Source organism: Homo sapiens, chromosome 11 (assembly GCF_000001405.40).
Source record: "Homo sapiens chromosome 11, GRCh38.p14 Primary Assembly".
Taxonomy (NCBI): domain Eukaryota; kingdom Metazoa; phylum Chordata; class Mammalia; order Primates; family Hominidae; genus Homo; species Homo sapiens.
The window spans coordinates 76,098,970-76,117,699 of NC_000011.10; the positions used below are offsets into that span (position 1 = coordinate 76,098,970).

The 18,730-nt window shown below is 37.9% G+C and overlaps 1 protein-coding gene across 7 annotated transcripts in view; it reads left to right on the forward strand.

Annotated features, from left to right (window-relative positions):
• Positions 1-18,730, forward strand: part of UVRAG (UV radiation resistance associated) — a 329,023-nt gene that overhangs the window by 283,760 nt on the left and 26,533 nt on the right. For all 7 annotated transcript variants that reach the window (NR_170160.1, NR_170161.1, NM_001386671.1 and 4 more), the window contains one exon: positions 16,955-17,046. Coding sequence is in view for 5 of the 7 variants with exons in the window: in NM_001386671.1 (NP_001373600.1) it covers positions 16,955-17,046 (92 nt within the window). In the remaining 2 variants the exon portion in view is untranslated. The remainder of the gene's footprint in view (positions 1-16,954; positions 17,047-18,730) is intronic.

The following is an 18,730-nucleotide window of genomic DNA, read 5'->3' on the forward strand; positions in this document are numbered from 1 at the left end:
ACATGCTTACCTGCCTCTGAACTTTGCTTAGAGTCTTTCTAAGTCTCCACTCACTGGCCTCCTTTCCCAGTTGTTAATGCATTCAGCTCATCTTCTTTCAGATAATGGCTTAGGTCCTAACACCTCAAGAAAGCTTTTCCAACAAGGATGTATTCATCAAATAAGGAAATGTGGATTTCACCCTTGCAATTTGCAGTGCAGTTCCCCCAAAAAAGTCTATTAACTACCACACACTTGGCATGATATTAGCTGCTGGGCATTTAACAGTAAGTAAAATAAATTCTCTGTCATTGAAGCATTTACAGTCGTCTTGTAGGTCTTGTGTAGGGATCATAGGAGCAAATTATTTTCTTGTTCTGTGCCTCCATTTTTTCATCTGTAATACGAGGAAAATAACAGTACCTGCTTTGTTAGGGTTCTTATGATAATTGAATGAATTAATATTTGTAAAGTACTTAAAACAGGGCCTAATCAATAGAAAATGCTTTATTTACTAAAACAAGACTAAACTTTGGAATAAGTGTTCTAGTTCTAAAAAGATCCTATTTGTATGTTAAGTAGGATTATAGTAAATGTATAGGTTAGTTTGTAGAGAAATGTCATCTTTATAGTAACAGGTCTTCCTATTCAAGAATAGGATATGAGTTTCCACTTACTAATATCTTCTTTTACATCCCTCAATAGAATATTAAAGTTTTCTTCATATAGATCTTGCTATTTTGGTTATGTTTATTTCCAGGTATTTTATCTTTGTTTCTGTTTAAAATAGCACCACGTAATATTCTAATTCATTGTTATTTATATAAAGGAAAATCATTGATTTTTGTTTTTCAATTTTGTATTGAAGTATTTTATTGTTTGTGATGAGTTTTCATTTGGTTTGCATGGACTTTCTAAATGTATAATCATATCTATTAAAAATGATCATTTGCCTCTTATTTTCCAATTTTTATAGCTCTAGACTTTTTTTCTTACCTAATTAGTATTAACTGATTATGGTAGTAGTGAACATCTCTGTCTTATGCTGTGATTTTTGACTTGTGACCATTATACTTGAAATGGATTATTATATATAATGTTACGCATTCCCAATTTGATAAACAAAATCACAATGTGTTTTTTAATTGTCCAGTCTGCTTTCCATAAGCTTAAACATCCAAATTTGGCTCTTACCCTGACAAAAATCTTCCAGAATATTTTAGAGAACTATAATCTATGGAGAACAAAAACTCACACTTCCAAAAGGAGATAAAGTCAGAAATGATTCTTCAGTGTTGCTAACCCTTTCCCCTGAGCACTTAAATTAGCCCCTGGGGAGTGTGTCCTAATATGTTTAATGTTCAAAATATCTGCTAACTAAAAACCTCTATACTATTGTTAAGGACTAACCCCATTGTGCCTGACACATAGTAGATACACAAAAATGTTTATTGGAAGTGTTGATGAAATTCCAGAAACTCTCTCCACTGGCTTACCTCATCTAAATATTACCTGTCCATCAGTGAACTGCTTAGGCCATGTTCTCCCCATGAATTCTCTCCTAATATCTTCAGGTAAAAGGTAGATATAATCTTTTTCACTTGAATTAGTTTTCTGTGCTTTATAACAAATTACCACAAATTTAGCAGTTTAAACAACATTCTTTAAAAGAAAAAACGTTTAGGGGTACATGTGCAGTTTTGTTATATAGGTAAATTCTTGTCACAGGAGTTTGATGTACACATTATTTCATGACCCAAGTATTAAGCCTAGTACCCAATAGTACTTTTTCTGTTCCTCTCCCTCCTTCCACCTTCCATCATCTGGTAGAACCCAGTATCTGTTGTTCCCCTCTTTGTGTCCATGTATTCTCATCATCTAGCTCCCACTTGCAAGTGAGAACATGTGGTATTTGGTTTTCTCATCCTGCGTTAGTTTGCCAAGGATAATGATCTCCAGCTCCATTCATGTGCCTTCAAAGAACATGATCTCATTATTTTTTATGGCGGCATAATATTCCATGGTGTATATGTACCACATTTTCTTTATGCAGTCTTCCACTGATGGACACTTAGGTTGGTTCCATGTTATTGCAGTTATGAACAGTGCTGCAATGAACATACACGTGCATATGTCTTTATGATAAAACGATTTGTATTCCTTTGGATGTATACCCAATAATTGAATTTCTGGGTCGAATGGTACTTTTGTTTTTAGCTCTTTGAGAAATCACCACAATGGTTGAACTAATTTACACTCCTGCCAACAGTGTATAAGCTTTCCTTTTCCCCCTCAACTTTGCCAGCATCTATTTTTTTTTATTTTTAATAATAGCCATTCTGACTGGTATGAGATGGTATCTCACTGTGGTTTTGATTTACATTTCTTAGATATCAGTGATATTGAGCTTTTTTCATATACTTGTTGGTTGCATGTATACTTTTGAACAGACACTTTTAAAAAGTGTCTGTTCATGTCCTTTGCTCTCTTTTAATGGGGTCGTTTGTTTTTCTCTTGCAAATTTGTTTAAGTTCCTTATCAGATGCATACTTTGCAAATATTTTCTCCCATTCTGTAGGTTGTCTGTTTACTCTGTTGACAGTTTATTTTGCTGTGCAGAAGCTCTTTAGTTTAATTTGATCTCATTTGTTAATTTTTGCCTTTGTTGCAGTTGCCTTTGGTGTCTTCGTCATGAAACCTTTGCCAGTTCCTATGTCCAGAATGGTATTGCCTAGGTTATCTTCCAGGGTTTTTATAGTTTTGGGTTGTACATGTAAGTCTTTAATCCATCTTGAATTCATTTTTATGTATGGCATAAGGAAGGGGGTTCAATTTCAGTCTTCTGCATATGGCTAGTCAGTTATCCCAGCACCATTTATTGAATAGGGAGTCCTTTCTCCATTGCTTGTTTTTGTCAGCTTTGTCAAAGAACAGATGGTTGTACGTGTACAGCCTTATTTGGGGGGTCTATTCTATTCCATTGGTCTATGTGTCTGTTTTTGTACCAGTACGATGCTGTTTGGGTTATTGTAGCCCTGTGATATAGTTGTGAAGGTGGACAGCGTGGTGTCTCCTGCTTTGTTATTTTTGCTTAGGATTGCCTTGGCTATTCAGCCTCTTTTTTGGTTCCATATGAATTTTAAAGTAGTTTTTTCTAGTTCTATGAAGAATGTCATTGGTAGTTTGATAGGAATAGCAATTGAATCTATAAATTGCTTTAGGCAATGTGGCCTTTTTAATGATGTTGATTCTTTCAATTCATGAGCATGGAATATTTCTCCATTTGCGTCATCTTGATTTCTTTGAGCAGTGTTTTTTAATTCTCCTACTAGAGATCTTTGACCTGCTTGGTTAGCTATATTCCTAGGCATTTTATTCTTTTGGTGGCAATTGTGAATGGGATTACGTTCCTGATTTAGCTCTTGGTTTGGCTGTTGTTGGGAATGCTAGTGATTTTTGTACGCTGATTTTGTACCCTGAAACTTTGCTGAAGTTGTTTATCAGCTTAAGGAGCTTTGGGGCCAAGACTGGGGGTTTTGGAGATATAAAATCATGTCATCTGCAAACAGGGAGAGTTTGACTTCCTCTCTTCCTGTTAGGATGCCCTTTATTTATTTCTCTTGCCCAGTTGCTCTGGCCAGGACTTCCAATACTATGTCAAATAGGAGTGGTGAGAGAGGGGATCCTTGTCTCCTGCTGGTTTTCATGGGAAATGCCTTCAGCTTTTGCCCATTAAGTATGATGTTGACTGTAGGTTTGTCATAGATGGTTCTTATTATTTTGAGGTATGTTCCTTCAATACCTAGTTTGTTGAGAGTTTTTATCATGAAGGGATGTTGAATTTTATCAAAAGCCTTTTCTGCAACATCCATTTTTATCTCACAGATCTGCAGGTCAGAAGCTGGGTGGGCTCAGCTGGTTTCTCTGCTCAGGGTTTCACAAGGCCAGAATCAACGTGTTGGCCAGGCTGAGCTCTTATCTGGAGTTTCTTGGCAATAATCCACTTCCAAGCTCATCTAAATTGTTGGCAGAATTCAGTTCCTTGCAGCTGTAGGTCTGAAGTTCCCATTTACTTGCTGGCCTTCAGCCAGGGGCCACTCTTTGCTACTAGAAGCTATCCACATTTCTTCTTACATGACCCTCCATCTTCAGACCAATAATGTCCCATCAAGCCCTTCTCATACTTTGAATCTCTCTCTCTGTCTTCTGCTGCCAGCCAGAGAAACCTCTGCTTGTAAAGAGTTTGTGTGATTAGACTGTCCCACCAAAATAATCTCCCTTTGCTGTAAACATAAAATTATCAAGGAATTAACACGAGGGGGTGAAGGTCATGGGGGCCATCTTAAAATTCTGCCTACTACTCCCACCCATCAAACTCTCTCTGCACTGTATGAGGAGGTAACCTCCTTCAGGGTAGTATTCATGGCTGAGTCATTTTGTGATACCCAATCACACCTTTCACGTATATTTATTACATATCTAATGAATTCATTACTTTTTGTTAAATGAATTGTGAGACAAAACAATTATTTACATTATTTGAAAACTGTGAGGAACAGTGTGCACTTGAAAGGTCATTGCTGTTTTGGTTTTTTTTTTTTTTTTTTGAAGCTACATTTATTTATGATCAACCAGAGAGACTAAACAGTGGACTCATGGGTTTGGACTCTATTGCAATTCAAGTGAGGTCAGAGGAATTCCACAGAAAACTTAAAAGGCATGAAGTAGCTATTATAGTAAAATTAATATTTTAGGGGAAAAATCATTAATGAGAGAAAAGAGCATTCTGGAAAACTGTGTTCCATTTAAGGCACCTCATTACCAGATTCTTTAAGGAAAACTGGAGGGAGTTCTGAGACACAAAGAATGATTAAGAGGCTGTAGGGATTAACTTAGAAACAACGATTTTAAAAGACTAAATATGTATAGCTTAGCTGAACAGTAACTAAACAGAGATGTAACTATTGTCAAATTTCTGAAATCAAGAGAAGTAATGGGCTTCTCTGATTAAAAAAAAAAACACTTGAGGGTCTCCTTTATGATTATTGGAGTAAATGAGGAAAAAGAAAACAAAATCTTAAACAACTTATATGCAATATTTAGACTGTGCGCTGCAGTGTAAACTATCAGAGTTGAATTCAAATCCCAACTCCTTTATTTTCCACCTGGGGAATTTCAGGCAACTCCTTCCACCTTTTAAACTTTGTCATATGTAGAGTGGGAATTACACCACCTACCTTTAGGGTTACTATGAAGATTAAATGAGATGACATAAGTAAACAGTCTAGTTCCATGCCTAGCACAGATTGCAGGTTGAGAAAAAGAATAGCTGCTATTGATATCACCATTATCATCATCGTTCTTAAGTGGTTACGAGTTCAAAGTGCTAGGATTCAGACAAACCTAGAATTCAAAGTGCCTGAATTCAGGCACATTCAAACTGTATCATTTAATTCTGTCTCTACCTCACGGTTTCTTTAACCGTGATAGTGTTGTAGTGAGGACTTAATGAAATAATATAACATAAAATGCTTAGCATTGATTCCTGGCACATAACTAATCACTGAATAAACACATTAACAGCTGTAGCACTATTTTCATTATCGTTAGCACCATCATTATTCCATCATAGAACCTGGACAAAAGCCTAACATATATTTAGATTATTTCCAAATTTCCCGTTACAAACAGTGCCATGCATGTATCTCCATTTCTGCCATTATCGTCACCACCACACATATACATGCACACAATTCAGTAATTATTTATTACTTGTTGAATTAAGTAATTTCTTCTAATGATCCTGTCGGGTATTTGTGGTCACTATACGTGGCTGGGGAGGTACCAGAATGCTCCTGTATGTTTCTTATGTAATCCAATTTATAGCAACAGATTTAAGTGCATTTTTTCATTTCAGTAAAACTGATATGTAGATTTATTTGAATTTTTATAAAGAATCCCTGCACTTATAATAATATTTTCATTTGTGTTTTCCATACATAGGAACTCCCTGTAGCTACACATTGCTTATAGGATTGTGTTACTGCAGTAAACAGAATATACTCTAGCTAGATTAGGCAGAAATGGTATCAATTAGAGGGTTGCTAATTAGAAGATATTAAGATTAATCAGAGGGTATAAATCATATGTGTTAAGTATTCATCAGAGCTACCTCACATTTACCATTAGATAGATCACAGAAACTGTGGGAGGGCCAGTAGAGATACAGATGGCAAATAAACATATGAAAAAAGTGCTCAGCTTGGGCGACATTGCCAAACCCCTGTTTCTACTAAAAATACAAAAATTAGCCAGACGTGGTGGTGCACACCTGTAGTCCCAGCTACTTGGGAGGCTGAAGTGGGAGGATAACTTGAGCCCAGGAGGTCAAGGCTGCAGTGAGCTGTGTTTCTGCCACTGCACTCCAGTCTGGATGACAAAGCAATACCTTGTCTTAAAAAAATAAAAAGCTCAATATTATTAGTCATTAGGAACATGCAAATTAAAACCACAATGAGGCCAGGTGCTATGGCTTACACCTGTAATCCCAGCACTTTGGAAGACCAAGGCAGGCAGATGGCTTGAGTCCAGGGATTCAAGACCAGCCTGGGCAACATGGCAAAATGCTGTCTCTACAAAAAAATACAAAAACTTAGCTGGGTGTGGTGGCACACGCCTGTAGTCCCAACTACTCAGGAGGCTGAGATGGGAGGATCACCTGAGCCTGAGGTCAAGACTGCAGTGAGCTGTGGTCACACCACTGCACTCCAGCCTGAGTGATAGAATGACACCCTGTCTCAAAAACAAAAAATAAATAAATAAAATAAAACTTCATTGAGACACTACTATACAACTGCTAGAATGGCTAAAGTTTTAAAACTGACAGTATCAAGTGCTGATAACAGTACACAGCAACTGAAACACTCACTGAAACATTGCTGCTGAGAATGAAAAACTTATATAATCACTTTGGAAAGTAGTTCGCATTTTAAAAATAAAGTTTAAGATATATCTGCCATTCAACCCAGCAATTCCACTCCTAGGTATTGGTCCAAGAGAAACAAAAATATAAGTCCAATTAAAAACCTATGTCCACATACTTATAGCAACTTAATTCTTAATAATAAAAATGAGAAACAACCCAGATGTCCCTCAACTGGCATATAGATAAATCATTTTTGGTACATCCATAGAATAGAATACTACTCAGCAGTAAAAAGGACCAGACTACTCACACATATAGTAACCTGGATGAATCTCATGTGAAAAAAGGCAGACACAACAGGCTAAATACTCTATGATTCCATTTCTACAATGTTCTGGAAAACTGTCTCTGTTCTATTAGACTGTAATCTTGATCTGAGTGTATAGTTCTTTGCACCAAGATTGCATCAAAGTCAATGAATTGGAAGCAGAAATGCCTATTTTTTTTTTTAAGATGGAATCCCGCTCTGTTGCCCAGACTGGAGTGCAGTGGCGTGATCTCAGCTCACTGTAACCTCCGCTTCCCAGGTTCAAGCAATTCTCTCACCTTAGCCTCCCAAGTAGCTGGGATTACAGGCACACACCACCATGCCCGGCTAATTTTTTTGTATTTTTAGTAGAGACAGGGTTTTACCATGTTGGCCAGGCTGGTCTCGAACTCCTGACCTTAGGTGATCCACCTGCCTCGGCCTCCCAAAGTGCTGGGATTACAAGCGTGAGCCACCATACCCAGCCTCAGAAATGTCAAATTTGATCAGTTTAGAGAGTAAGCTTTAGCTGTGAAGGGAATCAAAGATCCAGATTGGGCCAAAGGTCAATACAGGGTATTTTGGGGTAAATCGAGGTACACAGGACTATCAACATGAGGGCAAGGAGCAGAAGTTGGGCCTGCTGGACCTGCTGAACAGCATGAATATCTACATTAATGGATCCTACTCAAGTCTACTGACTCATATAGCCTTTAGCCTCCAGAGAACATAGCCCTTCTTTGATGGGCTGATTAAACTGATTAAAACTGATTGCAGTTGCATCCAAGGTTGTGATTTACCTGCTTTTGACAAATTTGCAGTTTTGCTTTGATTGTTTATTTGCAATGTGCGTTACTAATCCTCCTTAGCAACTCACAAGGATTGGAAGTGATAGAGACTACACTAACAGGTTGACTCCAGAGTTGCATGAGTTTAATAGTGCTTCTAGTTGCTTTCTGGCCAATATAAGATTCCAAAGCAAAGGACCATCTTAATTGAAATATTTTTAATATGGCAGATTTTATAATGGTAAATTTAACTCAGATATAATCTGTGCCTTGTGAATACAATAAAGCAACATATGATATAAAGAAAAGAGCCTGTAAGGGTAGAACTTGGCAGACTTGGATTCTGGTCCCTGGACTCAACCTGTTCAACCTTAGGCCATTTAACCTCTCACTTTCTTCAGAGGTGCCATTCAGCTCTAGTATTAATTCTATGATTCTGAAAGCAGTTGATAGTGTGACTGGAAGGAGAAATGAAAGAAGCTTTTTCAATTACTAGACTTTAAAGCTTCTAGTTTTGACTTCTAGGCTTCAGTCCTCAGAATGGTAGACCTGAGCTGTGTCCAGTGTTTACATTATAACATATCTATTTTGGAAAAGACTGGCACGTGTTTATAGATGGGATTGGAAAAGTACTTAGGTTGTTCTTGCAACCAGAGGCCCATAATCGAGTTTTTATATTTTTCCTTAGAGGTATATATTGCAATGACTCACTGTAAGAAACAATATTATTGCTCATATTAAATATTCTTTAAGTAGCTTTTCCACGTCTTGAAAGAATTACGTTTTCTTCTAGGAAGGCAGATTTTGTTTTTGACATGGTGGTACTCTTTTTTTTCAAGCGCATAATCTAGTTCTTTTCATGTCAGTGAAACTTAGTAGTACTTAAAAATGGATTGAAATAGTGGTAACTAGTTCCACAGAGATGTTTGCCTACATAAGGCAAATCTCTAAAGTTAAATCTTTGATGCATATGTGCATTTTTCATTTCGTATTTTCGGTTCCTCCACACCATTTCTTTGTAGTCAAATTCATTGTAATCCCATCATGAAAGTGTTGATCTTTTAGTAACCTTTTTTGAAGCATTGTATTAATCCACATTCCCTCACGATAACACACGGTTTGTATCAAACATATCATGCAGCTTAGCTCAGGCCACATATGGAACTAATAAGTCAGGCAATAAGTGGCTTTGTGTGAATGAATACAGTTTGGAAGGGTGGGGACATGTGTGTGTGTTGTCTAAACTGCATTTCTCCTGTGCCAAAACCGAAATGACACAATGATTCCTGAATCCCCAGAGGCTTTCCTGGCCTGGAAAAATTGTGTTTAAAAAATAAAAATAAAATTGAGCACTTTGATATTAAATTAAACCTCTCAGCTCAATAGGAGGATGCTTACTGGGTGCAAGAACACAGCATTTATTTCTCAGCAGTAAAATCATACTACGTTTTAAATGTGATCTCCAGAGCTGCAAGTGGTCTTCCCTCATCAATGGAGCAACATTTATCAAGCTGCATGAACTAGTTAATTCCAACTGCAAGAGCTGTGACGTCATAGTTGATCTGTCTTATTTGATGAAACACAAAGTGGATGTATAGTGATTTGAGAAGAAACCAGCATGTGGCTTTGGAAAAACACTATATTTTTATACAAAAAGGGGGTATAGGAGAGGAAAACAGAGAGAACATAGACAGTTAATGGAATTGACATGGCCGTAGTTGTCTGTTGTGGTCTGAATGTACTTGTTGCTTGGGTTTTCTTTCTTTTTGCTTGTTCCGGTAACTATAAAGCCAGATCTTCCTGGGTTTTTTTAGCGTAAGGATTATCTTTTGCTACCAGACAATACAGTTTGTTAATTTTTCCAGGGAAACCACTGAACATTGTTTCTCCCCACTTCCCATCTAACTTATTATCTAAGTGTAATTTTCATCTTGGTTGCCTACTAGCCATAGAGTTGAACAAAATCTTAATTGCCCCCATGGAGTCCTAAATCAATCAAAGTAAAGCTGAAATTCAAACTAATTGAAACCAAAATTCCACTTAAAGACTGCTTAGACTGTTTTGGTGGTGGCGGTGCAGTAGGAAGTTGTTACAAAAGGTGTTTATTTCAGAGGCTAATTTGAGGCAGTTATACAGACCCAAAGCAATATTTTATTTGCCTAGTTTTCTTGGCATCTGCCTTCCCCAATCAAAAATGAGAGCAGAAGGAGCCGTAATGTTTAGGGAAGTGTGGGATTGATAATAGTTGGTGAGGGCAGGTGTTGATGGAACCTGAAGTAAGATTTCTTAGAGACAAGAGTACTTCAGTCTTTTAGCCTGTCCATAGCTGCCTTTGCTGTTGTTTCCCTCGTTCACTCTCTTGCTTAAAACCCTGGAGTAGGTTCTTACTGCTAACCAGCAAGATAAAGTTGAACTCTTCAGCTTAGCACTCTTAGCCCTCAGCAGTTATAATGACTACCCTGTAAAAGTCAGGCCTCAGGAACTTCTATTCTCTGTAAAATTCTAATTGAACTCTTACAACTATCTTATGAGATAAATATTGTTGGTCCTGTTTATAGACAAGGCATAGATTGGTTATGTAACTTGCTCAAAGTTATACACATTATATGGTGAGAATAGGCTGTGAGTCCAGGCCTCTCATTCCAAAGACAGAGAGCTGATTCACATTGCCTAGCTTAGTGGACACTCAATAAATATTTGCTGAATGAATGAATAGAACGTGTGGAGACTTAGTAAATGTAGTTCTTTCTCCCCTTTCCCTATCCTTGTCCTTTCCTCCTCGACCTGGTTCCTTCTTTTCCTTTCTATTTTTACTAATATCTTACCAGGGAGTTAACTTGTTGAAGATTATTGAAATTTTTAAAAGTTTGCCCAAGCAAGGAAGGAGTTTGCGTGACCATACAGCAGAGCTGGGTCTTTCACCAGGTCCCCTGACCACTCACATCATGTATCAGTCTTTCCATTTCACTATATAATTATTTTAAAGATACTGACATGTGTGTGTTTATTCCTGCTTCTCTGGAGTGCATGCAGTCAGAAGCTTAATGAAAATTAGCATTTAAAAAAGTGAACAGTGTACTTAAGATTTTCCCTTTGATTTGAAGTAACTCTTTCCTTCTTCCTTTTCTGCCCCCCATTCTTAGTAGTTAAGTGGTAAGCCATTATTGAACACCAGCTTTATGCCCAGCCTAGTGGTAGATACTGTGATGATGATAATGTGGAGAATATATATATATCTGGTACATATATATATATATATATATGTATTAGTAATGATAACAGGTATTTTATATTGAGCACTTATGATGTACCAGATATTATTTTGGATAGTCTATATACTTTATCTTATTTAAACTTTACAACAGCTCTGCAAGGCAGGCAACATCCCCATTTTACAAGTAAGGAAATGGAATCTCAGAGAAGTGACTTATTCAAAGTCAAACAACTAGTAAGTGACAGTACTGGTATTCAAACCCAGCTCTTCTGCATTTAAGCCTATCCTACTGTGTCGTGATGCCTCTCATTTCTTCCTATACTGTATTAATTTAACTTGTTAATTAACAAGTATTTATCAAGTACCTATCCAGTTGGTTAAGGCTTTCCAAAAAGAACAAATGGAAAAGTGCGTATGGGGAGGAGTTTAGGGTCAAGGGTAAAATGCCCACTTACCTGCAGTAATCAGAGAGCTTCCAGTGGAAAATGGAACTTCTGTTGGTTCTTTGAGAATAGATAAGACATGAGATATAGGATGCCTAGAGAGAGACATAGAGACAAGAAAGAGAGCTTTCTGCCAGAGTAATGAGTACTGTGTAAAAAGCTATCAGAAGAGTTGTTAGCCAGTATTGAAAAGCTGGTTTTTTATATATAAAATCCCATATATATATATGAGACTTTTATTTGTTTGTTTGCTTGGAGTCAGAGTCTCCATTACCCAGGCTGGAGTGCAGTGGCACAATCTCGGCTGACTGCAACCTCCACCTCCCAGGTTCAAGTGATTCTCATGCCTCAGCCTCCCGAGTAGCTGGGAGGCGCACACCACCACACCTGGCTAATTTTTGCATTTTTAGTAGAGATGAGGTCTCACCATGTTGGCTAGGCTGGTCTCAAACTCCTCACCTCAAGCAGTCTACCCGCCTGAATATGTTTGTTTAAGTCACTTCTCTACTAAAATGCTACTAATAAGGTTAAATAATTTTAAAATTTTAAATTCACAAGGATGAAAAGAATAGATAAGACCAAGAAAATTTAGAAAACTTCAAATAAACGAATGAGTGATAAACTGACTTGGCAGAAGCCTTTACGAAGCAATATAATCCAAACCACAGACTCCAGAAGGATGTGGTGGTACCGAGTATCTCATGAAGTTTAGGGATAATATATAGAGCTAAACATAGGAGGGTAGGTTGACAGTCTATAGAAAAAGAAGTAATACTCCCAGTTCACTTTTCCCACTCTGTGTAGCCCAATAACTACGTTCCCACATGCCCTAGTGGGAAAATGAAGGTTTACTTGCTGAAAAAGATTGAGCCCAAGAAGCTCTGAACGTAAACTGCTTGATATACTGGGAACAAGAAGGAAGGTGCCTTACCAAAAGGTGATTACGTGAAAGTGTAACATACCAACACAGAGTTCCCCAACTGCCTTTTCCAACTTTATTCCCCAAATAAGATCCAGATTATGCCTCAAGACAGAGGATTCTTTCTGAGGAAAAAACAGAGGCAGCAATGAAAAGTCCTGGGGCTGTAGTACTAACCTTTCCCCGTGGGAAGGCTGGATTTCCATCCACTCATTCTGCAATGAACCCTCCCCCCACAGCCAGTCATCAAGCACTGCCAATGCACAGACTTCCTTCACAGCTTTTTAGAGTCTCACAGTCTCACCTGTAAAGATAAACTAACGGCCAAAGATTACGAGACATTAGAGGAAAGCCTCTAATATTAAAAAAAAAAGTCTAAAATAAAGTGAAAAAAAAAATCCAGAGGGTAAAGTGAAAAAAAAAAATCCAGAGGGTAAAATGAAGAAGGAGGAGGAGGCAAAATAATAATAATAGGAGAAAATGATCAGAATTAGGCAATAAGAGTATTCATATTGAAAGGATGTACTAAGTGCTTGGCCCAGGGAATGAAAACAGACTGAAAATGATGAATGAAAGACCGAAATGAAGGCTTATCACTATGAAATTTCAGAATACTAAGGTTAAAGAAGAAAGTCCTAAAAGCTTCCAGAGAGAAGAATCAACTTACATTCAAAGGATCAGGAACCAGCATGTTAACGGGTTTCTCAGTCACCACGTGAAAAGCTAAATGACAGTAAAGAAATACTTTGGAACTACCTAAGAAAAAGTATTTGCAGCCATGAGTTCTATACCTAGGCAAACTATCATTCAAGTATAAGAATGGAATAGTTATATTTTCAAATATTCAGGGTGTCATGAAAGTTACCTCCCATGCTATCCTTTCCCAGAAAGATATTATAGGATACACTCCACCAAGATGAGGCAGTAGATCAAGAAAGAAGACAATCTAGGAAATAACAGCTTCAGCACAGAAGAAAAGTAAACAAAATTTCCAGCATGATGGCTAAAGAAGCTTGTAGGAATATAATGCAGCAGGCCTAGCTAGCAGCCAGTTCAGTTGAAGCAGAGAGAGGAGGCTTCAGGAAATATATCTCTAAGAGCAAAATGGACTTGATCAATTTTATGGTGTGTTTAGTTAGATTGAGAAGAGTTTTAAGGTTTTTTATTCTATTTCTTTTTTCTTTTCTTTTTTTTTTTTTGAGACAGGGTCTCACTCTTATCACGCAGGCTGGAGTGCAGTGGCACAATCTCAGCTCACTGCAGCCTCAACCTCCCAGGCTCAAGCAATCCTCCCACCTCAGCCTCCTGAGTAGCTGGGACCATAGGCAAGCACCACCATGCCCGGATAATTTTTTGTACTTTTGGTAGAGACAGTGTTTCACCATGTTGCCCAGACTCGTCTGAAACTCCACCCGCCTCAGCTTCCCAAAGTGCTGGGATTATGGGTGTGAGCCACCACACCTGGCCAGTTTTAAGATTTTTGTTAGAGTTTGGGGAGTATCTAGTGACAAGTACATAGAAAAGCTCAACTGGTGGAAAAAATGGCAGTTATCACTTCCAGTGAAACAAACAAAAAAGTACAAGAAAGGAATAATACATTACATGGCTCAGCAGTGAACAGTGTTTATGTAGGTATAGTGAGGTAAACAGTAAATATTGATTTAATTTAAAATATGATATTGAATGTATTGAGAAGATGAGGAAGGGAACTATGTGTGGGAGAGTAGAGTCAAGTTCTCATATTCTTTAAGAAAAAGCTAGTAGATAATGTATGGGAAAGGGGATAAAGTGTTTGTGTGAGAGCAAAGTGGTATAAGAGTGCTAAATTCTCTTCTTTCATGGTGGGAGCATAGTAGATGATGTCTCTAACTGGAGGGGAAGGGAGAATAAGAAATCTTAATATAAGCATATTATTCAGAAATATGAGGTAAAGAAGAAACAGCTAAAAGGTGTTCTCAGAGTTTGGGGTAGATAGTAGAGCAGAGAACTGCTTTTTTTTTCATTATAAATCTTGTAGTGGTTTAGACTTGTTAAACCATACTTATACTTTATTAATAATAATATATGTGTTATGTATGCATTTATTTTTGAGTTCCCTATGTGGAAAATTAAAAGGGTAATATGGTAGAATTTGGAGCTGTTATTAAGCGGTTCTAGCCTTGGCTTTGTCCCTTATCATCCCTGTGACTTTGGGCAGGATGCTCTTGTCTTCCTGGGCCTTAGTTTCTTCATTTATAAGAGGAAGAAGGTTGGAAAGATGGTCTCCAGGGTCTCTTTAAGCTGTAAAATTCAAAGATTCTATGATTTAAAAAAAAAATAGTACTATGCAGCAAATGGAGAGTTAAGACCCAGACAGAGGCTTGAAATTCCCACATTTTTCTTTTTTTTGGTTAAAATCAGACTTGGAGAGAAATTTTCACTGTGGTCTCTGAAAACAGTTCAACACCCATCTTCCGTTGTGGAACCTGGGGCAGGCAATTGTCTGTGTACTCACTCGGAGACACATAGCTTAGTGTTATTTCAGTAAGTTTTTTTTTTTCCTTGATGTTTAATATTTTTCGGTATGAATCACAGGTAAAATTTCCATGCCATGTGTAAACGATTTCACTTCTTATTGAAACAATGAATTCAGGAACGTCATGTTGGGATATCAGCCATTTTGCTTTTATCAATGTATGGAAAAATGCATTTATATTAATACAAGAAATGATGTCATTTAATATGGGGTAGATCTTATAATTCAAGGTCTGCAAATCTCAGGAGGTGATTTAGGTCACCAAGCTAGGTTTGAAAAAGGAAAAAACTATTTTCCTTCTGCTTTCTCAAGTATTGTTACCAGTTTTCGTCTCAGACTTTGGGGTAGGTGGTAGAGAGTAGCATGGTTTGTGAAAAGGAGGCCCTGGCTGATAATATCTTTGCCATTGAACCATGCGGCCCTGGATAATTTACTTCCCCTTTCTGGGGTTCAGTTTTCCCATCTGCAAAAGAAAAGGATTGGCTGAAATAATATTCAAGATACCTTTTAGTTTTAACATTGTATGTTTCTACATCCTTACTTTATGTGTGTATTCATTCAAACCATTCAGGAGACCCAGTTATGTTTGGAGGTTTTTCTTAAAAAGCCCAGAATCAGTGAGAGTGAACTCTTTCTCTAAGTATCACTCAAGCAGAGAAAAATCAGTTGAATTCTAGAGTCAAACAAAAGAAAACTGACTGTTTTTAGTAGGTGTTTATTTATGCCCCCTGTTGTCTTACTCTGAAGGCCTGCTTTCTATTCACATGATTTGTGGTTTTATTCTTTAAGAGAGGGATATATTTAAAAGTTTGACTTAGCCACTCTTAAATTTAAGTGCTAAAAGAGTTAAACCTTAAGACCGATGCCCCTTCACATTTGTACACAGACATACATTTTATAAAGTCTATAAACTTTCTTCATGTGTAATATGTCATTTGAAAAACACATTTTTGCAGAGCTGTGTTGTCCACTTACTGTGTGTTTGATGTGTGGATGAGCATGTGTGAGAATATGCACATCCACTTACTTCGGCTCTCCTTTATGGTCAGTTACGGAAGCAAATGGTGATACTCAGAGACACAGTGAAAGGAAGTGAAGAACAGACCGATGAAAACCATTAGCAACTTATCCAGAGTACTCAGAAGGACACTTAATTTTAGAAAATTGGCCTCTACCAGAAATAAATCAAACAAAGGGCAGATCTAGCCCACAAACCAGCAGTTTCCCTGTACCACCTCTCCAGCTATGTGCTCTGGTCTGGACAAAGAGGAACGTTAGAGACTCAAGAGAAATACAGAGCACAGCCTCTGTCAAAAGTGAGTTGCAATGTATTTGTTTAATAAGCATTGAATAAGTACCAGCACTATGCCAGACACTATTGGAGTCAGAGATGAATACAAGATGGTCCTTACCCTTGTTTATACAAAGGGGAGGGCTGAATGGAAGCTGGCAATATCTAAAAAGAAACACTGGTTTTCTGGTATATGTCCCTGGAGTTGGTGTTAGCAAACCCTACCAGGGTCTGGGGGTAGAAAAGAAGGCTAGATACAGGGGTCTTTGAAATATCCTCATTCCACAGTTGGTCACTCTTAGTCTTCTCTAAGTTTAGGGGGCAAGAGAACAGTAAGTAGATGAAGAGGCTACCTTAAATACCATCGTAATTTAAGTGGGTGTGCATACTCATACACGTGCTTATCTATATGTCAAATACCCAGTAAGTGGAAAGTACTGTGAGGCTGATAATAGTATCAAACATTTACATTTCCTCTTTTAGAGTTCAAAAAAATAACTTGTTTAGTGGTTCATTTTTCCGAAGCTTATAATCTGCCAAAATATCTTTAATTCTATTTTTTCACCTTCACAGCTAAGATATCAACATGGACTAGGGACTCCAGACTTGCGGCAAACCCTTCCCAACCTGAAAAACTTCATGGAGCATGGACTAATGGTCAGGTGGTGAGTACCTTTATCTCTGATAACCAGAAACTGTAATGTGGATAGGATCCTGAAAATCTTTTCTGACTTCCACATTGCTCCACACCTGCCTCTGAGTTTTCTTCTGTAATGAGATATGGGAGGAAAATGAAAGGCGCCATCACAGTTGGGGAGATCTAAGCTCCCGTCTGGCTAAGGAGGATGTAGCCCCCTTGGAGGGAGGAGGGGCCAAGGGGATATTGCTTGAACTTTGGGAAGGTGGCTGAGCAAGGAGCCCTTGAGGGCATTGCTGAGACAAACTGGAAGACAGCCAGTATGATTCATGGTAAGGGAGACCCAGAGCCCCTTGGACCTTTCCAAAGAACAGGTGAAGGGCCTGATTATAGAATGAGCATCAGGACCATGGCTGTGAGCATTAAAGGAAGAAAGCAGATAAGGAATAGGTCAGGGGGTCAGGACTTAGTTTGAGACCAGTAGGTACATTCTGAAATGTTTCTTGTGTGTGGTGTCAGTACCTGTTGAACCGTGAGGGCAAGCTGCTGCTGAAAGTGCTCCGTCAGGATAGACATGGACCTTTGAAAAGAGAAGGAGAGAGGGGAAGTCTGATAGAAAGAAGACATTAGATTCATTCACTTGACCTAAATGGAAAGTTGTTGGCTGTATCCATTTAGTAATTCTTGAAGTTTGAATCCTTGGGTAGTGGGCAGTAACTTACAAAATCACGTGCCTGGAAAGCAGGCCTGTAGAGTTAGACAGCTGGGGGCAGCACTGGCTTCTGATTCCAGGTATTTTTCTCATCATCTGCTGTGTGGATTTGAAATTCTACCTCTCTGAAATTTGATTTGCTCTGCTGATGTGCCTTCAGAAAAGTAAAAAAACTGTGGTTGGTCTTTACTTTGATTTTCAAAACGGCAAGTTCCAGATGTCTGGTCTTAGATAGGACTCCTGTTAAGCAAATACACAACTGTTTAAAGAATTCCACTCAAAACATCAAAATAATTATTAAAGCTTGGTGTTGATATGGACCCGGATGCCTTCAGGAATATGAGAGAGGAATTAAGTTTTAAAGTAAAGTAATAAGAATAATAAAAGTGAGCTAGCAGGTATTTATTTAGCTTGTCTCTGTGTAAAGCTCTGTGATAGGTGCTTTAGAGAGATGAGAAAGCTCAAGCCCTGTCCCCAAGAGATTTGTGGTCCAGTTGGAAACAAGGCACAGAATTCATGAAGAGGTTTTCTAACACAATGGTAAATAACCTAAAATAATGAGAAAATTGGCAACCTACAACACTAATTAATCACACTAAATGAATCTTGCTCAGTACAGATAGCAGATTGTCCCTGAACCATTTACTGAAGTGTCTGTCTTTTCTCCACTGATGATAATGGCATCTCTTTTGTAAACCAAGTTCGCTTATCCATAGAGATCCATTTCCAGGATCCCTATTCTGTTCTGTTGCTTTATTTGGCTAGCCATCGATTAGTATGACATTTTTAATTATTGTAAGATGTAATTTCTAAAAGTGTTGTTGAGATTTGAGAATGAAATAAAAATCAAAATGTCCATTTTACTATTGATAAAGCTACTTGGAAAATGGGGCTTTAGATCTGAAATAAAACGGGCTTGCAAAGATGTCACTCAAAATTGAACTTATCCTCATAATCACAATGTAAACTGGAGAGCCATAGGCTTTCCCTACAGAGGCAG